At 39.0% G+C, this 19,409-nt stretch overlaps 1 long non-coding RNA gene and 1 other non-coding gene across 3 annotated transcripts, besides 1 other annotated feature; one reads left to right on the top strand and one right to left on the bottom strand.

The window, feature by feature from the left end:
• Positions 1 to 2,568: 2,568 nt before the first annotated feature.
• LOC105371446 (uncharacterized) lies at positions 2,569 to 18,576 on the bottom strand. Of its 2 annotated transcripts, XR_922151.2 has the most exons (3): positions 15,988 to 18,576; positions 13,363 to 13,423; positions 2,569 to 3,215 (listed from the first exon to the last, which is right to left on the bottom strand). It is a non-coding gene; the product is annotated as an uncharacterized LOC105371446 (long non-coding RNA). The 2 variants fall into 2 exon arrangements; XR_007067039.1 differs by lacking the exons at positions 13,363 to 13,423; positions 15,988 to 18,576 and adding an exon at positions 3,588 to 4,372.
• Positions 3,183 to 4,382: an enhancer, noted in NCBI's record as "MED14-independent group 3 enhancer chr1:152995252-152996451 (GRCh37/hg19 assembly coordinates)". NCBI's record gives its function as "activates an origin of replication core promoter dependent on BRD2, BRD4, P300/CBP and CDK7 cofactors, and independent of MED14, by STARR-seq in HCT116 cells {active_cell/tissue: HCT116}" and the evidence as "EXISTENCE:reporter gene assay evidence [ECO:0000049][PMID:35650434]".
• On the top strand, positions 14,544 to 14,676 carry LOC124900435 (small nucleolar RNA SNORA31). The gene has a single exon (XR_007067391.1). It is a non-coding gene; the product is annotated as a small nucleolar RNA SNORA31 (small nucleolar RNA).
• Positions 18,577 to 19,409: the final 833 nt, after the last annotated feature.

Below are 19,409 nucleotides of genomic sequence, written 5' to 3'. Positions count from 1 at the left end.
AACACAATCATTATAAGGATGGAAATCAATGCCCAGAGCACAGAAAGTTGGACAGATCACTGTAAGAAAGTTGAACTTGATTTAAGTTCTTTCTTTGGAGACTCCAGAAAAGTTGATGTGGCTGGGGCTTGTCCTTTCCTCGCTTACCCTGGAATGCTGCATGACAATAAATTCAGGAAAGAATCCTTCTCTTAGTTTAGCCTCATCCCAGGGAGATCAGAGACTGAAGCTTGGTGAAGAGGCCTTCTTCACCATTTCAGGCTTTGAAGAACATTTGATGGAGAGTCATGAGAAGGAGGATCCATTTGTCTTTGTCATGTTTTCCCCCTGCCAGCTTCTGAGACTGCTTTGGGGAATGTGTTGCTGCTGGCCAGATGAAGAAGGTTTCAAAGTAGACTTGGGCAGACACTGTCTAGGTGGTTACTGAAGAGGTAGACACTGAGGAGAGACAATGTGGTGGTGGACAGTGGTGAGGCGGGCTTTGTGGAAACGTGAAAAGTTCTGGACACTTGAAGGCTATGTCTCTCAACCCCAGGAAGAATATGTAACAGGATATGCAGGTAAGATTACAGGAGCTGGCTGGCAAGGCTACTGCTAGAAGAACGTTATTCTTGTTACTTAGCAATATCTGAAAGAAAGGGAGGCAGAGGTTGCAGCGAGCCAAGATTGAGCCCCTGCACTCCAGACTGGGTGATAGAGCGAGACTCCATCTCAAAAAATAAAAAAAAGAAAAAAAAATTATTATATAATTAATAATGTATAAAACAGATAGCTATTAAATGAACACTAACATTAAACAGCCAGAAATAACCACTGTTTATATTTTGCTATAGTAAGTATCGGGATTTTTTTAATCTTCCACCAACCCACATGCATACACATACACACACATATATATATATATAAACAAAGACATACAACATCGTAAATGGAATGAATGCCAAAAAAGCCCACATAAAAATGCCTTAAATCACAATTTTTATGTGACAGATGTATTTTCCACAATAAATTTGTATTTTTAAAAAGCAGCCCCAAACAATGGGAACAAGTAAGTACATGACTTTACATTCGTAATAGCTCTGTATCATAGAGTCCACTTCCCCACCCAGAATCATCCTACTTAATTGTGATTGGTCCTGAAATTATCTCTAGACTTTCTATCATAGAATCAGCAGTAATTTGAAGCCACCTCATCATGTGCATACCTAACAGGCCCAAGTGACATCATTCTCTCTTGCCAGTTTGACAACTACTCATCAACTTGTAATGATTCTTTGGACAATTTTTGTCTTATCATTTGCAAATATCTCTGAGGTCTTGTAAAACCTATTTGGAGTACCTGTGTATCATGCAGGTGTAACCTGTCACTGGCTTCACACTTCTTTGATATTATGAACCATGCAACCTATCAAGAAATAGAGTTTGTTCCCCGGTGGTTACTGTAGCCCTTCAGAAGTTTTGTCATCCTTTCTACTGTTAGAGACCATTCTACAATATCCCAGAGCCACTCAACACAGACCTGCAAACCTGTTGGTCACCCCTGAAATAAAAAAGACAAGGCTGCAGGAGAGAGTTGGGAGCTGGGAGTCTGAGGAATTATGCTCCAGGGTGATGCAGAAACATAATTTCAGGGTTACCTTAATTAACTTTTTGGGTATCAATTTCTTTATTTAAGAAATGGAGCAACTCTACTGGGTGCTCTTTAAGTCTCCTATAACTCCTGAGGTTTTATACCTTAATTACCTACTCTTTCCTAACTTGGTGGCCAGTTATTCACCTCACCTAAATTGTGTAATCCTAATCCCTGTTTAAAACCCACATCTTGTTTGGAATTACTGGATAAATCTGTTTCTGTGGGTTATTCTGAGGGAGAGAAAGAAAAAGGGATGGGGGAGAGAGAGAGAGACTGTATAGTGAGTATTTGTGTGAAAAAGATATGAATGTCCTAACTTCTAGACAAAACTGCGAAATTATGCAAGGGAGGCATTGTGTATCCTCCACTCCCTCTTGCTCCTCCAACTTCAGGCCTCTCTGTACATGGCGAATACCCAGCTAAAGGTAACATTGCCTGAGCCAATGAGGATAGAGCTTGTGTGAGTGATTATGTGAGTGTGTGACTATTTAAAATGAATCTGCTTTTTAGTGAGTGTTTGTGTGTTTATGTCTGTATGTGTTGGGGTATCTGGAAGGTAAAATGAATAAAGCAAAATAGAATATCAAGTTCAAATATGTAGGAGTAAAGTTTTCTAGGAACAGGAAATTAGTGGGAAGGATACTAAGGATGAGAGGTGGCCTGGAGCAGGCAACATGGAACTCAGGCATGACTCAGTTCAGTGCAAAAGGAGAGCCTGTGGCTGCCCAAAGTGACAATCTCTATGCACCATCACAGAATACCCATTGTCATTCCAGGAACACCCCCAAGTGTACCCCCCCACACACATAGAAACATATAGTACTGGGTTTAGATAGATGAATTCTACACCAACTCCTTTTTGTCTATAGGTCCTGACTCACAATGGGGAAACAAGGAAGGAGGAAGATTCAGCCAATGACACACACAGCCAAGACTGGAGTTAAAAGTGATTTAATGAGGGCAGAGCAGGATATATGCATTTTTTTTCATTCGAATGTTCAGATGAACCCTGAGCAGCTGAAGACCAGAAAAACCATGAAGACTTTCTGCTTAACTCAGGGGTTTACAGAATTCTTCAGAGTGTGTGCAAGCAAAAGGAGCTTCATAGTGCATATTTTTAGAATACAAATAAGAGAAAGACTATGACTTGGGGTGACAATGTATTGGTTACAAGGTCTACAGACAATTAAGATACAGAAGCAGATAGGAAGAGTGTGTCCAGCATCTGGTGGTCAGCTTCTCAAGGGCTTGTCTGTGCACCACATTACTTCTACTTGGACTTCTGCTGAGCTGGGCCGGAAGTGACTGTTGAAGGATGTGGCTCTGGTACCTTGGTGGAGATTGACTCAAGGACCTTGGTGCAGCCTGGCTCAGGGATCTTGGTGCAGCCTAACTCTGGAATCTTGGTGTTTCCAGGTTCCAGGTTCCAAGTTTTGGGTAGCATGGCTCCTTGGTTATGGGAACAAATGGTTCCTAAGGGAGAGGCTGGCTGTGCTGTTTCACCTGCTGCTGTTGAAGCTGAGGGGGTGAGGTAAAGGGCTGCTTCTGCTTGTGGGAACTCATGCTTCAAAGGATGCTGGATCTAGAGACAAAAAAGCAGATTCAGTGCTTTGATTAAATAGGAATGAAGCCAAAGTCAATGCCAAACATCTTATTGCATGTCCCCAGAGGAATGAGAACCTTGAACTCCTGGGCTCTTCTCTTTCTTCCTGTTTTCTGAATGTAATATCAAAGGAAACTTTGATAATCCCCAAGCAGTTTCAAAGGGAGAGAGTAAAAGTTGATTTGTTCTGCTCCATATAAGTTGTGTCCTCTTAGCTTCCATTTTTCTTGGTATATCTAAGAGCATACACTAGTGAGGGAACCTAACAAGCCTCCAAGGACTGATGGGAGGCCCCAGATTTGCAATAATTTGGAAAGGTCAATAGTCTAAAGTCTACTCACTCATGCCTACCTTATACAGTGCCATAGTTCTCATAGGAAAACTCCATCTAAACCTCCTCCTGAGGCCCATACAATCCAACTGTGACCCTGTTTTCACACGTTGCCCACTGCACATGTTTTCTGGAAGGCTCTCCGTGCCAACACTACTTGTCCACACCTGCCCACCCCTCCTGGTTGTCCTCCCTGATGGTCTCATTTGTGAGATTCTCCCATGGGCCTGAAAGCTTAAGGAGATGAATAACTCCTGCCTTCTCAGGCCCAGTCCCAAGGTGCAAGGCCACTTGCATCAGCAGCATGCGTCAGCAAGATAGCAGAAGCAGGAAGAGAGCTGGCTGAAGGACACCTACCCCGGCTGGAAGACACGTACCCCTGAAGATCCTGAAAGAGGCCATCCAGGTACAACATAGCAGTTGCGTCAGACTAGGACACATCCTGTTTACAGGAGACTGTAAAACCTTTGCCCCGTCCTCACTTGGGACTGACGCCATTTTAGGCCTCAGCTTCCCTGCACCCAGGCGCTCATTAAAACAGCATGTTTTGTCTCGTGTTGTCTGTTGGCATGTTCTCGGAGTTTGAACTGATACAAGAACCTTACACTCATCTTCCTTATTTAGCCACAGCATGGTACATGATTTGTCCTCTTTACTGATCTCATACTCCCCATGCTGTATGTTTGCAAAGTTTGTGCACGTGTTGTGTTCTCTGATAGATCATAGGTTTGTGTAGCAAGGAAGAATTTAACTTTTTTTTTTTCTTTTTAAGAAATGGGGTCTTGCTATGTCACCTAGGCAGGCCTCAAACTCCTGGGCTCAAGTGATCCTCCAGCCTCAGCCTCCAATGTTGGTGGAACTACAGAATGTGCCACTGCACCTAGATTTAAGTTTTGAACATCCAAATTGTCTAATGCAGTGCCTTTGATGCTGACAATTCTAAAAATCATACAGATGATTAAAATATCACTAAAAGTGCCCTGGGCATGGAGTCTAGTTCATTCCTCCTGCTCAGGGAACAGCACTCTAAAATAAGTCACTTCCCTTTTCTGAGTCTCAGTCCCACAGCTGTAATCTGAGTGGGAAGTCAAAAAGAACTGCTTTAGTACTGTTGTACCCGAGGGAGTTAGAAAAACGCCACACTTTGAGACGAATTAAGAGTCCTTTATTAGCCGGCGACCGAGAGACGGCTAATGCTCAAAATTCTCTCGGCCCCGAGGAAGGGGCTTGATTAACTTTTATATCTTGGTTTAGAAAGGGGAGGGGGTGTCTAGTTAAAACAATTTTACAGAATTTAAGTAGTCAAAAAGTTAAAAGGATAAATGGTTACAGGAAAGTAAACAGTTCCAGGTGCAGGGGCTTTAAGACTATTACAAGGGGGTAGACACGGGGCTTTGGGCATTATCAATCAGACGAATTCTTGGGGACTGTGGATATAGCTTGCCACAGTATCTTATCAGTTAATTGCATTCTTGGATGTGCTGGGAGTCAGCTTGCACAAGTTAAGTCCTTGAGGAAGGGGCTACAAGTGAAAGAGCCAAGATGGAGTTTGTCTGGTTCTCTCAGCTAAGGGAGAGTCTATTCAGGTGGAAACAAGGCTAGGTGAAAAAGGAAAAACAAGGTTGGGCATTACAGTACCCTTAAGTACAAACTGCAAATCCATTTCAAATAACCATAGCCTTAGCATTGCAAGGAGACCCCAATCAAAATAAGATACAATTAGGTGAATATTAAACAGTTTCAGGTTGGAACTCTTACTTCAGAAGATTGAGCTCCCTGGCCTCTCAGGTCTGGTTAGGAGTCTCTGGCCAACTGGGCTTTTATATGCAAAATGAGCCCTGCTATAAGGAAGTGGATTTGGGGAGGGCTGTTTTACCTTCATTCCAGCTGTGAAACCAGACAGGTCTCAGTTAATTTAGAAAGTTTGTTTTGCCAAGGTTGAGGATGCATGCCCGTGACACAGCCTCAGGAAGTCCTGACGACATGTGCCCAAGGTGGTCAGAGCGCAGCTTGGTTTTATACATAAGACATCAATCAACACATGTAAGATGAATATTGGTTCGGTCAGGAAAGGTGGGACAACAGGAAGCAGAGAGGGGGCTTCCAGATCACAGGTAGATAAGAGACAAATAGTTGCATTCTTTTGAGTTTCTGATTAGTCTCTCCAAAGGGGGCAATCAGATATGCATTTATCTCAGTGAGCAGAGGGGTGACTTTGAGTAGAATGGGAGGTAGGTTTGCCCTGAGCAGTTCCCAGCTTGACTTTTCCCTTTAGCTTAGTGATTTGGGGGCCCTGAGATTTATTTTCCTACCATTCTTCCCCCCTTTTCTTTTAAAAAATCTTTTGGAGAAAGCATTTTAGAAGAAATTGAGTCTCTTTTCCCAGGTTTCATCTGATCTCTCATGGCTAGGATGGTTTATTCCTAGATGGGTAGGTCCTGAGTTATTAGGAAAGCCCATTTTAGCAGGTTGTGAAGTCTCATGTTGTATGAAGAGAAAATAGGGGGAGGAAGGGAGAAAAACAAACAAAAGGAAAACCCTAGAAAATCGATGTAGGACACATTACTCTGAAGTCCATATATTAGTAGGCAGGTATGAAAGTGGCTTATGTATGTAAATAGGTTGCTATTATTTTCTTCCGAAGTTTAAGTTGTCCACCTTCAGTTCGTAGGGCTTTAAGAAAGCACAGCTTAGTTTTCAGTGACTCTCAATTAGGAAAAATGGGGGGAAAAAGAAGGAAAAGAATTGAAAACATTATTTTGAAGACTTGTAGCCAAGAAAATTAGAATTTGGTCCAAACTGTAGAAAATAATAACAGTTGAAAAACATTAGGCAAGACTGGAATCTAACAACAGGTGTACTGTAGTTTTTGAAGCATAATAAGGATACTTAATTTTCAAAACAATAAGCCCTAATAAAAATAGCAAGAAGTCAATTAAATTTGTTTTTCAAAATTCTACAATCTATAAAATTTTAATCTTGACCATAAGATATGACTTCCAGAAGTCTTTTATAACCTTAACAACATTTATTAAGAAGTCAGTTAATGCCTTTTCCTTTTTATCCAGCTTTCCATTCTGTGTCTTTTAATTGGGGTATTTAGCCCATTTACATTTAAGGTTAATATTGTTATGTGTGAATTTGATCCTGTCATCATGTGCTGGCTGGTTAATTTTGTGGACTTGTTAATGTAGTTGCTTCATAGTGTCATTGGTCTATGTACTTCAGTGTTTTTGTAGTGGCTGGTAATGGTTTTTCCTTTCCCTGTTTAGTACTTCCTTCAGGAGCTCTTGCAAGGCTGTTCTGGTAGTGATGAAATCCCTCAGCATCTGCTTGTTTGAAAAGGATTTTATTTCTCTTATGCTTATAAAGCTTAGTTTGGCTGGATATGAAATTCTGGGCTGAAAATTATTTTCTTTAAGACTATTGAATATTGGCCCCCAATCTCTTCCAGCTTGTAGGGTTTCTCCTGAGATGTCTGCTGTTAGTCTGATGGGCTTCCCTTTGTAGGAGACCTGGCCTTTCTCTCTGACTGCCCTTAACATTTTTTCCTTCATTTTGACCTTGGAGAATCTGAAGATTATCTGTCTTGGGGCAGATCTTCTTGTGGAGTATCTTATTGGGGTTCTCTGGATTTCCTGAATTTGAATGTTGACCTCTCTTGCTAGGTTGGGGAGGTTCTCCTGGATGATATCCTAAAGTGCATTTTCCAACTTGGTTCCATTCTCCCAGTCTCTTTCAGGTACTCCAATCAATCATAGGTTCTGTCTTTTACATGTCCCATAGTTCTCGGAGGTTTTATTCATTCCTTTTCATTCTTTTTTCTCTAATCTTGTCTGCCTGCCTTATTTCAGCAAGGTAGTCTTCAAGCTCTGATACTCTCTCTTCTGCTTGGTCAATTCGGCTATTGATACTTGTGTTTGCATCATGAAATTCTGGTGCTGTGTTTTTAAGCTCCATCAGATAATTTATTTTGCACTCTAAACTGGTTATTCTAGTTAACAGCTACTGTAATCTTTTATTATGGTTCTTAGCTTCTTTGCATTGGTTTAGAACATAATCCTTTAGCTCAGTGAAGCTTGTTAGTACACACTTTCTGAATCCTACTTCTGTCAGTTCATCCATCTCAGCTTCAGCCCCATTCTGTGCCCTTGATGGAGAGGTGTTGCGATCATTTGGAATAGAAGAGACATTCTGGCTTTTGGAATTTTCAGGCTTTTTGCATTGCTTTTCCCTCATCTTTGTGGATTTATCTGCCTTTGATGTTTGAGGCTGTTGACCATTGGATGGGGTTTTTTGGGCTCTTGTTTGTTGATGTTGTTCTTGCTTTCTGTTTGTTTGTTTTTCATCTAACAGCCAGGTTCCTATTCTGCAGGTCTGCTACAGTTTGCTGGGAGTCCACTCCAGACCCTGTTTGCCTGAGTATCACCAGTGGAGGCTGCAGAACAGCAAAGATGGCAGCCTACTTCTTCCTCTGGAAGCTTCGTCCCAGAGGGGCACTGACCTGATGCCAGCTGGAACTCTCCTGTATGAGATGTCTGGCAACCCCTCTTGTGAAGTCTCACCCAGTCATGAGGCATGGGATCAGGGACCTGCTTAAGGAAGCAGACTAACTGTCCCTTAGCAGAGCTGGTGTGCTGTGCTGGGAGAATCCCTCTTGTCCAGATCAGTCGGACTCTTCAGAGCTAGCAGGTAGGAAAGATTAAGTCTGCTGAACCTGAGGCCATGGCTGCCATTTCCCCCATGTGCTCTGTTCCAGAGAGATGAGAATTCTGTCTATAAGCCCCTGGCTGGAGTTGCTGGAATTCCTGCAGGGAGGCCCTGTCTGGTGAAGGGGGATGGATCCAGGTTCCACCTAAAGAAGCAGTCTGGCCATGATCTGCCATTGCTGCTGTGCTGTGCTGTGGGGAGTATTGCCCAGTCCAAACCTCCCAGTTTCCCTAGTACTGACGGGGAAAACTGCCAACTAGAGCTACAGTAATGGCAGCCACCCCTCCTCCCAGGAATTCAGTCGTCTTAGGCAGACTCTAGGATGCTGTGCTGGCTGGCGGGGATTTCAAGCCAGTGGGTCTTAGCTTGCAGGGTTCCTTGGGAGTGGGACCTGCTGAGTGAGGCTATTTGGTTCCCTGGTTTCAGCCCCCTTTCCATGGGAGTGGATGGTTCTCCTGCCTCACTGGAGTTCCAGGTGCCGCCGGTGTAGGTAAAAACTCCTGCAGCTCAGTGCCTGCCCAAACAGCCACCAATGGGAGTAGCTGCTGTGGGTCTGCCCAGTTTTGTGCTTGAGACCCAAGGCCCTGATGGTGTAGGCTCATGAGGGGGATCTCCTGATTCTTGGACTACAGAAATCTGTGGGAAAAGCATGGTACCCCCGGTGGGTAACAGTCCCTCACCACTTCCCTTGACTGGGGGAGGGTGGTCCCTTTGTCCCATGTACCTCCTAGGTGAACCATCACCCCAGCCTGCTTTTCCTTGCTCTCTGCGGATCATGCCAGACACCTAGTCAGTCCCAATGAGATGCACTGGGTACCTCAGTTGGAAATGCAGAAATCACTCACTTTTTGTGTTTGTCTTGCTGGGAGTTGCAGACTGGAGCTATTCCTATTTGGCCATTTTGGCCCCTCCTCTCCAGTAATTGCTTTAAATGTCTGTGCATCATATACACCATGGAATAGTATGCAGCCATAAAAAATGATGAGTTCATGTCCTTTGTAGGGACATGGATGAAACTGGAAACCATCATTCTCAGCAAACTATCACAAGGACAAAAAACCAAACACCGCGTGTTCTCACTCATAGGTGGGAATTGAACAATGAGAACACATGGACACAGGAAGGGGAACATCACATACCGGCGACTGTTGTGTGGTTGGGGGAGGGGGGAGGGATAGCATTAGGAGATATGCCTAATGCTAAATGACGAGTTAATGGGTGCAGCACACCAACATGGCACATGTATACATAGGTAACAAACCTGCACGTTGTGCACATGTACCCTAAAACTTAAAGTATAATAATAATAAAATAAAATAAAAATAAATAAAATAAATGTCTGTGCATTAAATTCTCCAATCAAAAGACAGAGATGGGCAAAATGACTTAAAAAACATGATCCAATTATATACTATCTAGAAAAAATTCTCTTTAGATTCAATTATACAAATTGGTTGAAAGTGAAAGAATGAAAATGATATTTTATGCAAATAGTAACTAAAAGAGAACAGAAGCAGTTATATTGCTATCAGATAAAACAGACTTTAAATGAAAAAACTTATGAGAAAAAGAGGTTACATATATATATACATATATACGTATATACGTGTATATATATACACGTATATAAGTGTATATGTATATATATATACACGAAGGTTTAATACAGCTAGAAGATACAACAATTACAAACCTTTATGCACCTAATATCACACCATCAAATATACAAAGCAAAAATTGACAGAATTGATGGGAGAAATAGACAATTCTACAACAATAGCCAGAGACTTCAGCATATCACTCTCAATATGAATAGAGCTAGCAGACAGAAGATAAGTAAGGAAATAGAGGACTTGAACAACACAGTAAACCAACTAGATCTAACAGATATACACAGAACACTCTATCCAACAACAGAATGCACATTCTTCTCAGGTGTATGTGGGACATTTCCTAGGATAAAATATATGTTAGGGCAAAAATTAAGTCTCAGTAGATTTAAAAAATATATATCACACAAGGTATCTTTTTCAATAAGCAGAATGAAGTTAGATGTCAATAACAAGAAAAACTGGAAAATTCATCAATTTATGGAAAGTAACACAATTTTAAACAAACAGTGGATCAAAGAAGAAATAACAATGTAAATTAGAAAATATTTAGAGATGAATGAAAACAAAAACACAACATACCAAAACCTAAAGCATGAAAGCAGTGCCATGGGGGAAATTTATAGCTATAAATGCTTACCTTATAAAAACAAGTAAGATCTCAAATCAACAGCCTAACTTTACAACTTAAGATACTAGAAAAGGAACAAACTAAACACAGAGCTAGCAGAAGGAAAGAAATAATAACGATTAGAGCAGAGATAAGCAAAACAGAGATAAACGATAAAGAAAATCAATAAAAACAATAGTTATTTGAAAAGATTAACAACATTGACAAACTTTTAGTTAAATGGAATAGGAAAAAAGATAAGAGACTCAAACCACTAAAATGAGAAATGAAAATGGGGACCTTATAGTTATTCTCCATAAATGAAAGGATTATAAGGGAGTGTTATGAACAATTGTACACCCACAAATTGGGTAACCTAGATGAAATGGATAAATTCCTAGAAATACAAAACCTACTGAGACCAAATCACAAAGAAACAGGAAATCCAAATAGATCTATAACTAGTAAAAATATTGAATCAGTAATTGAAAATATCCCCATAAAGAAAAGTCCTGGACTTGATGCTTCACTGGGGAATTCTATCAAAAACTTTAGGAAGAATTCACAGCGATCTATTTCAAACTTTTCAAAAAATTAAAGAGGAGGGAACACTTTCTAACTCATTTTATGAAGTCACCATTATCTCGACGCCAAGCGCAGATATAGACACTGACAGAAAAGAAAACTACAGACCAATATCTCTTAAGAACATTGATGCAAATATCTTTAACAAATGTTAACAAGTTGAATTCAGCAGTATATTAAAAGGACTATATGCCATGACCAAGTGGGATTTATTCCTGAATGCAAGAATGGTTCAACATATGAAAATTGACCATTATAATATATCACATTAAAATAACAAAGAAAAGCATCACATAATCATCTCAACTGATGCAAAGAAAGCATTGGACAAAATTTGACATTCTTTTATTATAAAAACACCCAACAAACTAAGAATAGAAGAAAACTTTCAACATTCTAAAAGTCATGTGAAAAAACCACAGCCAACATCACACTCAATGGTGAAAGACTGAAAGCTTTTTCCTTAAGATGAAGAAAAGGCAAGGATGTCTTCTTTTGCCACTTCTACTCAATGTAGTCCTGGACATTTTAGCCAGAGTAATTAGACAGGAGAAAAAACAAAAGGTATCCAAATTGGAAAAGAAGTAAAATTATCTCTATTAATAGATGATATGACCGGAAGATTCTATAAAAAGTTGTTAGAACTAATAACACATTATAGCAGGATACAAGGTCAATGCACAGAAATCAATTATGTCTCTATGTACTAATAATAAAAAATCTGAAAGAAAATTAAGAAAAAATTTTATTTATAATGGAATGAAAAAGAATAACATACTTAGGAATTAACAGAGGTAGTTATAGACTTTACAATAAACTATAAAACATTGTTGAAATAAATTAAAGAAGACATAAAATAAATGGAAAGACATCTGTGTTCATGACCTGGAAGACTTAACATTGTTAAGATGTCAATGCTACCCAAAGCGATCTACAGATTCAGTGTAATCTCTATCAAAATCCCAATGATGTTTATTGTAGAAATATGAAAACCCATCCTAAAATCCATCTGGAATCTCAAGGGATCCTGAATAGCCAAAAGAATCTTGAAAAATAAGAGCAAAGCAGAAAGAGTCACACCTGTTAATTTCAAAACTTACTATGAATCTCTAATAATCAAAAGTGTGGTATTGGCATGAATACAGACATTTAAACCAGTAGAATACAACTGAGAGCCCAGAAATAAACTATCAAATACATGATACAGTTATTTTTGAAAGGACAGCCTTTTCAACAAATGGTGCTGGGAAAACTGGATATCCACATGCAAAAGAATAAGGTTGGACTCTTGCCTAAGACCGCATATAAAAATTAAACTCAAGGTGGATTCATGACCTAAATGTAAGACCTGAAACTATAAAGCTCTTCAAAGAAAACATAGGGTAAAAACTTTACAACACTGAATTTAGCAATGATTTTTTTGGATATGACACCAAAGGTAGAGACAACAACAAATAATAGATAAATTGGACTTAGTAAATTAAAAAGTAATGTATACTAAAAGAATGTCTTCAACACTGAAAAAGGGAACTCACTGAATGGGAAAATATATTTGCAAGTCATATATATCGTATGGGATTAATATCCAAAAGGCATAGAGAAGTCCTGAAACTCAACAACCAACAAAACCAAATGTCCCAATTAAAAAAATAGGAAAACTAGGTAAATAACTTGCCTAAGCATTTATTTAAATAAGTTCAGAAAACATTGGCCAAGGTATACCATGGCCAATAAGAACATGAAAAGATACTGAACATCACTAACCATTAGAGAAATGTAAATCAAAACTACAATGAGATACCACCTCATATCCATTAGGATGGCTACCATCAAAATGCCAGAAAATAGAAAGTGTTGGTGAGGACGTGGAGAATTTGGAACCTTTGTGCACTGTTGGTAGTAGTTTAAAATGGTACAGCTGCTCTGGAAAACAGTATGACCTTTTCTTAAAAAATTAAAACTAGAGTTACAATATGAACTATAAATTCCATATCTGGGTATATACTTCAATGAATTGAAAGCAGGGACATGAAGAGATATTTATATACCCATGTTCATAGCAGTATTATTCATAATAGCTTAAATGCGGAAGCAACGCAGGTGTTCATTAATGGAAGTATGAATAAGACAAATGTGGCATATACCTATGGTGGAATATCATTTGGCCTTAAAAAGGAAGGAAATTCTTACATATGCTATGACATAGATGAATCTTGAGGATATTATTCTAAGTGAAATAAGCTTGTCATTAAAAGATAAATACTCTATTATTCCACTTACATGAGGTACATAGAATAGTCAAAATCCTGGAGACATAAAATAGAGTAGTGGTTGCCAGGGCCTGGGGAAAGGAGAAAATGGGTTGTTATTTTTATGGGTATAACATTTCAGTTTTACAAGATGAAAAGAGTTATGGAGATGGATGGTGGTGATGATTACATAGCAATACGAGTGTAATTAATATCACTGAACTATATATTTAAAATGGTTAAAATGATAAATGTTATGTATATTTTATTACAACAAAATATTTTTAAAAAGACATGAAGAACTGATTAATACCAGAACACAAATGAGCCTTGAAAACTTTATTCTAAGTGAAAGAAAGCAGTCACAAAAGACCATGTATTATATAATGTCATTCATTTGAAATGTCCAGGGTAGGAAAATCTACAGAGACAGAAAGTAGATTAGTGGTTGCTTAGGGTTGGGGGAGAGGGTAAAAAAATAGGAGGATGATAGCTGAAGGTGGCATTTTCTTTTTTCAGTGATGAAATTGTGCTGAAATTCACTGTTGTGATGGTTACACATATTTGTGAATACACTAAAGTTAATTTAATCGTATACTTCAAATTGGTGAATTGTACGGTATGTGAATTATAGCTTCATAAAACTGTTTAAGAAAGGGTGAGGAATTTAGATTGTCCCACAATGCTTATATCAGCACCTATGTTCCCTAAAGCCCTTTTCTGTCAGGTGGGCCAATATTGTTTAATCCACCATGCTTATTGTTGCCATTGTGTACTAATGGCCTGAGAGCAGTTAGCCACGTTTTGTACCCAAAATGTTGGACGCCTACATTGGGGTTAAAGGAGTGGTGGTCACATCCAGATGTGATTTAGTCTAAGTATTCCATAAGGCCTCTCAGAGTCTCCCTTGTTTTTGGGTGGGGCATTCTCCAGGATAATTTGGATCCACCATGGAATGCCTACTTCTTTAACCCCAACAGAAACTGGTTGTAATTTTAGATTCTGTTCAATAACTTTCCATCTACAACAAAAAGGGTGATATACATTTGTCCACAGCACACGGTGGCATCTTAAGCACCCTGCTGCCATATTGTGTCTATTATAACCAAGGACCTTCCTTCATTTGATTATCAATGTTTATAGTCGCACAGTGGTCAGTCAGCCAGGAGTTGTAACCCCATGGTTGGATGTCCTGCTCCTTACAAGATTGAAATGCATCTATCTGACATGCCTGGAGCAGGTATTGTCTGCTGCTAAAGTTTCCACCACAGATGCAAGAAGAAAAATGTCCTCATGCTTTTTGTCTGTGATTGTGGCAGCCAAGATTGACTAGAGGAATGCAGAGGGAAAAAAAGAAAAAAAAATAAGAGACTATAAAAGGTTTTGTTTAGTTTACCTTCTGTGTAACTGCCTGGGAAACAAAGGTTCTGTGTCTTATCAGAATGATGTCCTATGCTTTATGTTGACCTTTTCCATGTCCTGACTATTTAAAACAACCAAGTCTTCTCTCTTTGAAAAAAAAACTAAGGTATTTTACAATAAGGTACCTTCCTATAGTTACTTTTGTAGTTTTTTATAGTCACTTTGGTTAACTAGGTAGGCAAGTATGGTTTCATAGTGATCAATAATCTTATTTAGTCAAGTGTTCAAACCTTTTAACATTTTTGGCAGTTTTGCCTTCCCAAAATAAGACCTGAAATGAAATCTTGATCTCAAATTGACCTTAATATTTCCCAGAGGAACCCTGGAAAATCATGAAAGATTTTTTTCTTTCACCTTGTAAAAAGAGAAATTTTAAACAAAGTAATGGTTTTTGATAGTTAAATTGCATTAAATGTGTTGTCAAATGAGAAGAGATGCTTAACCTTCTCTATGTGATATTTGCATGGATAAATATTATTAACATGACTATTTCAGAAATTGTTTGACATTCATAGGAATTTGTCAATACCTCCACTGCTCAGGATATGCCTTGGGATAATTTTAGTCATAAATCTGGTTGTTGTTTTAAATATCTATGACAGAGACAACCAAATTTCCTTGTCAATTACTTAATAATAAACTCTTATTGACAGGTGAAGCCAGCTGGACTTCCTGGGTAGAGTGGGTACTTGGAGAACTTTTCTGTCTAGCTAGAGGATTGTAAATGCACCAATCAGCACTCTGTAAAAACGCACCAATCAGCTCTCTGCATCTAGCTAAAGGTTTGTAAGTGCACCAATCAGCACTCTGTAAAAACGCACCAGTCAGCACTCTGTGTCTAGCTAAAGTTTGTAAACGCACCAATCAGCACTCTGCAAAGACGGACCAATCAGCACTCTGTAAAATGGACCAATCAGTGCTCTGTAAAATGGACCAATCAGCAGAATGTGGGCGGGGAAAAATAAGGGAATAAAAGCTGGCCACCCGAGGCAGCAGAGGCAACCAGCTTGGGTCCCCTTCCATGCTGTGGAGGCTTTTGCTGTGGAGGCTTTGTCTTTTTGCTCTTCACAATAAATTTAGCTCCTGCTCACTGTTTGGGTCTGCACTACCTTTATGAGCTGTAACACTGCGGGGGTCTGCAGCTTCATTCCTGAAGTCAGCGAGACCACAAACCTACTGGGAGGAACAAACAAACAACTCTGGGCATGCCACCTTTAACAGCTGTAACACTCACCGTGAAGGCCTGCAGCTTCACTCCTGAAGTCAGTGAGACCACGAACCCACCAGAAGGAAGAAACTCCGGACACATCTGAACATCTGAAGGAACAAACTCCAGACACACCATCTTTAAGGACTGTAACACTCACTGTGAGGGTCCGCGGCTTCATTCTTGAAGTCAGCAAGTCCAAGAACCCACCGGAAGGACTAAATTCTGGACACATTATCATATCTTTAACCATAGCCGTTTTAAGTCTTGTCATGCACAGATAGTTTTTGTTTTACTCTGATTCCCGTATGAAAACGTTTTTAATAAGTTACAAGCCAAAATGCTTAATCTTAAATAAAAAGGAAAAGTCTCAGGGACACATGGAAAAAAATCTATAACAGATACACTAGAGTGCAGGCTTCTGATTGCATTGCTTAAATGACTTTAAGACCATCCCACTAGACTGAGTAAGGATTTCCAGAACTATATTGGAGAAACTGATTGGTTGATAAAACTGCTAACCCAAGATCAACCAGAACAAAAATTAATTACAGGTACCAGATGAACTGATGAAGTGCAATTATAATATTTATGGATTTTTACTTGAAACATTGTTGATTCTTTTATGTTCTATTTTCTGAATGGATTATAAGACACTTCTTTCTCTTTTACAGTATCCATAACTTGCAACAATAATTAGATTATACTTTTATAAACAGAAATAGAACATTTATCGTTTTCTCCTTGCCTAATCCCTCTAGAATTTGGCACTCATTGAGGATTCTTATTTTCATGACGACATAATTATTTGCATATGTCCAATAGGAATTTATCCTTCTTGTAACTGGATATAACTGAAAATCTTGGTTCTATAACCAAGGCTTTGACTGAAATGTCATATTTGAAAATGACACATAGACCCAGTTGTGACCAGACAGTTTTTAAGAAGCTAAGGTTGATTTTATGGAGTCTGTGCTTACAAAGCACTTTTCGGTAAAGCATTCCAACTAACCTTTGTAGAGAGGCAAGAATGACTAAAGGGAGGAAGGGTGAGAAGATAGGAGAGTAGTTCTGTCCTCTCCATTTACTCTAAAGGTTTAGGGTTCCTTGGCATCAGCCTTCTACCAGGCACGTTGAAGCATTTATCTCCATGGACCCTACTTCAACATGGAAGGGAGGCCCCCACCATTTTACTGTTCATCTGGGATCTGTGTAGAGCCTGAGGAATGTTCTGGATAAGCAGGACACACATTTTTCCTTAGCTCAGCAGCATCTTCACTGACTTCTGTATTTTTAATATCGTGATAAAATGTTTTAAAAATGAAATAACTTTACATATTATATAATAAGAAAAAACAGAGCCATTCAAAAAAGCAAATGAACAATATCATGTGAACAGGAAGAAATAACCAGTTATATTTTGCTGAATTTTGTATCAGGATTTTTTTTATATAAATCGACTTTCATGCATGTATTATTCACAAGATTCTTTTTTGCTTATATTGTTTGGGGCTTGCTTTTTAAATATAACCTGATCATTTTTCAATATGATTAATAATTCTTCTGTAATATTTCCTTTAATAGCTGCTGTGTAATTTTAATACATGGACACTCCATCAATTATGGATGCCGTTATTCACTAGTATGCATTTAGGTTCTTACCAGCTTTTTACTATTAGATACAATGCTGAAATGAATATCTTGATGTATAAATCTTTGTGTACATGCATGAATAATTCTTAATGAATTTCTAGAATAGAATTCATGGCTCAAAGGTCAGGCAGATCTTTAAATCTTTTTGTGCTTCCTGTCCAAACTCCCCTTTAAAATGTTTGAGCTACTTTATATGCATAATAGCTGCATACTATAGAACACATTTCTCCATTCTGGATCAGCCTATTTAATTGTAGTTAGTCCTGGAGTTGTCTCTAGACTTTTCCATCACTGAAATCAGCAATAATATGAAGCCATTTTAACACATACATATCTAGCAGACCTGAGTGACTTTACTCTCTCCTGCCAGTTTGGCAACTACTCATTACCTTGTTGGACAATTTCTACAGTCTACTGTTTCCAGGTGTCTCTGAGTTCTTGCCAATGCTATACTGTGCAGGTGCTACCTATCACCTACCTCACACCTGTTTGATATTATGGCCCACCCACCTTCTTGAAAAATAGGGTTCACCCCTCAGTGACTGCAATGACCCTTCTGAAATTTTATGTTGGCTTCACTGCTTCTGGAAACAGCTCCCTAGTATTCCAGACCAGCTCAACAGAGACCACAAACTTTCTCAGTCACTCCTGAAAACAAGACTAGGCTGCAGGAGAAAGAGTAGAGGGCTGGCTGGGAACCTAGGGAACTGGACTCCAGGTGTGATTCTGAAATAATTTTTGATTGATCTTAATTACTTTTCTCTGCCTTTCCGGAAATCAGTTTTTTATCTTGAAATGCAGGAACTCTATTATGTACTGTTTAACTCCCTTTTTACTCCTGCCTGACATTCTGTAGCTTAATGACCTGCTTTCTAACAAATTTGTTGCTAATAATTCACCTAAATTGGATCAAGCACTCCTTCTCCTTGCAATCTCTTTTAAACTGATCTGTTTTAAAAATCACTTAATAAGTCTCCCATTATTAATGTGTGGGAGTCTAAGTCTCTTTGTAGGTCACTCAGGACTTGCTTTATGAATCTGGGTGCTCCTGTATTGGGTGCATATATATTTAGGATAGTTAGCTCTTCTTGTTGAATTGATCCCCTTACCATTAAGTAATGGCCTTCTTTGTCTCTTTTGATCTTTGTTGGTTTAAAGTCTATTTTATCAGAGACTAGGATTGCAACCCCTGCCTTTTTTTGTTTTCCATTTGCTTGGTAGATCTTCCTCCATCCTTCTATTTTGAGCCTATGTGTGTCTCTGCCCGTGAGATGGGTTTCCTGAATACAGCACACTGATGGGTCTTGACTCTTTATCCAATTTGCCCCACTGTCAACATTAGACAGATCAATGAGACAGAAAGTCAACAAGGATACCCAGGAATTGAACTCAGCTGTGCACCAAGCAGACCTAATAGACATCTACAGAACTCTCCACCCCAAATCAACAGAATATACATTTTTTTCAGCACCACACCTATTCCAAAATTGATCACATACTTGGAAGTAAAGCTCTCCTCAGCAAATGTAAAAGAACAGAAATTATAACAATCTCTCAGACCACAGTGCAATCAAACTGGAACTCAGGATTAAGAATCTCACTCAAAACTGCTCAACTACATGGAAACTGAATAACCTGCTCCTGAATGACTACTGGGTACATAACGAAATGAAGGCAGAAATAAAGATGTTCTTTGAAACCAACGAGAACAAAGACACAACATATCAGAATCTCTGGGACACATTCAAAGCAGTGTGTAGAGGGAAATTTATAGCACTAAGTGCCCACAAGAGAAA

Source organism: Homo sapiens, chromosome 1, assembly GCF_000001405.40.
Source record: "Homo sapiens chromosome 1, GRCh38.p14 Primary Assembly".
NCBI lineage: Eukaryota > Metazoa > Chordata > Mammalia > Primates > Hominidae > Homo > Homo sapiens.
Note: the sequence above shows the minus strand (reverse complement) of the source record. Positions and strands in the feature narration are given on the sequence as shown.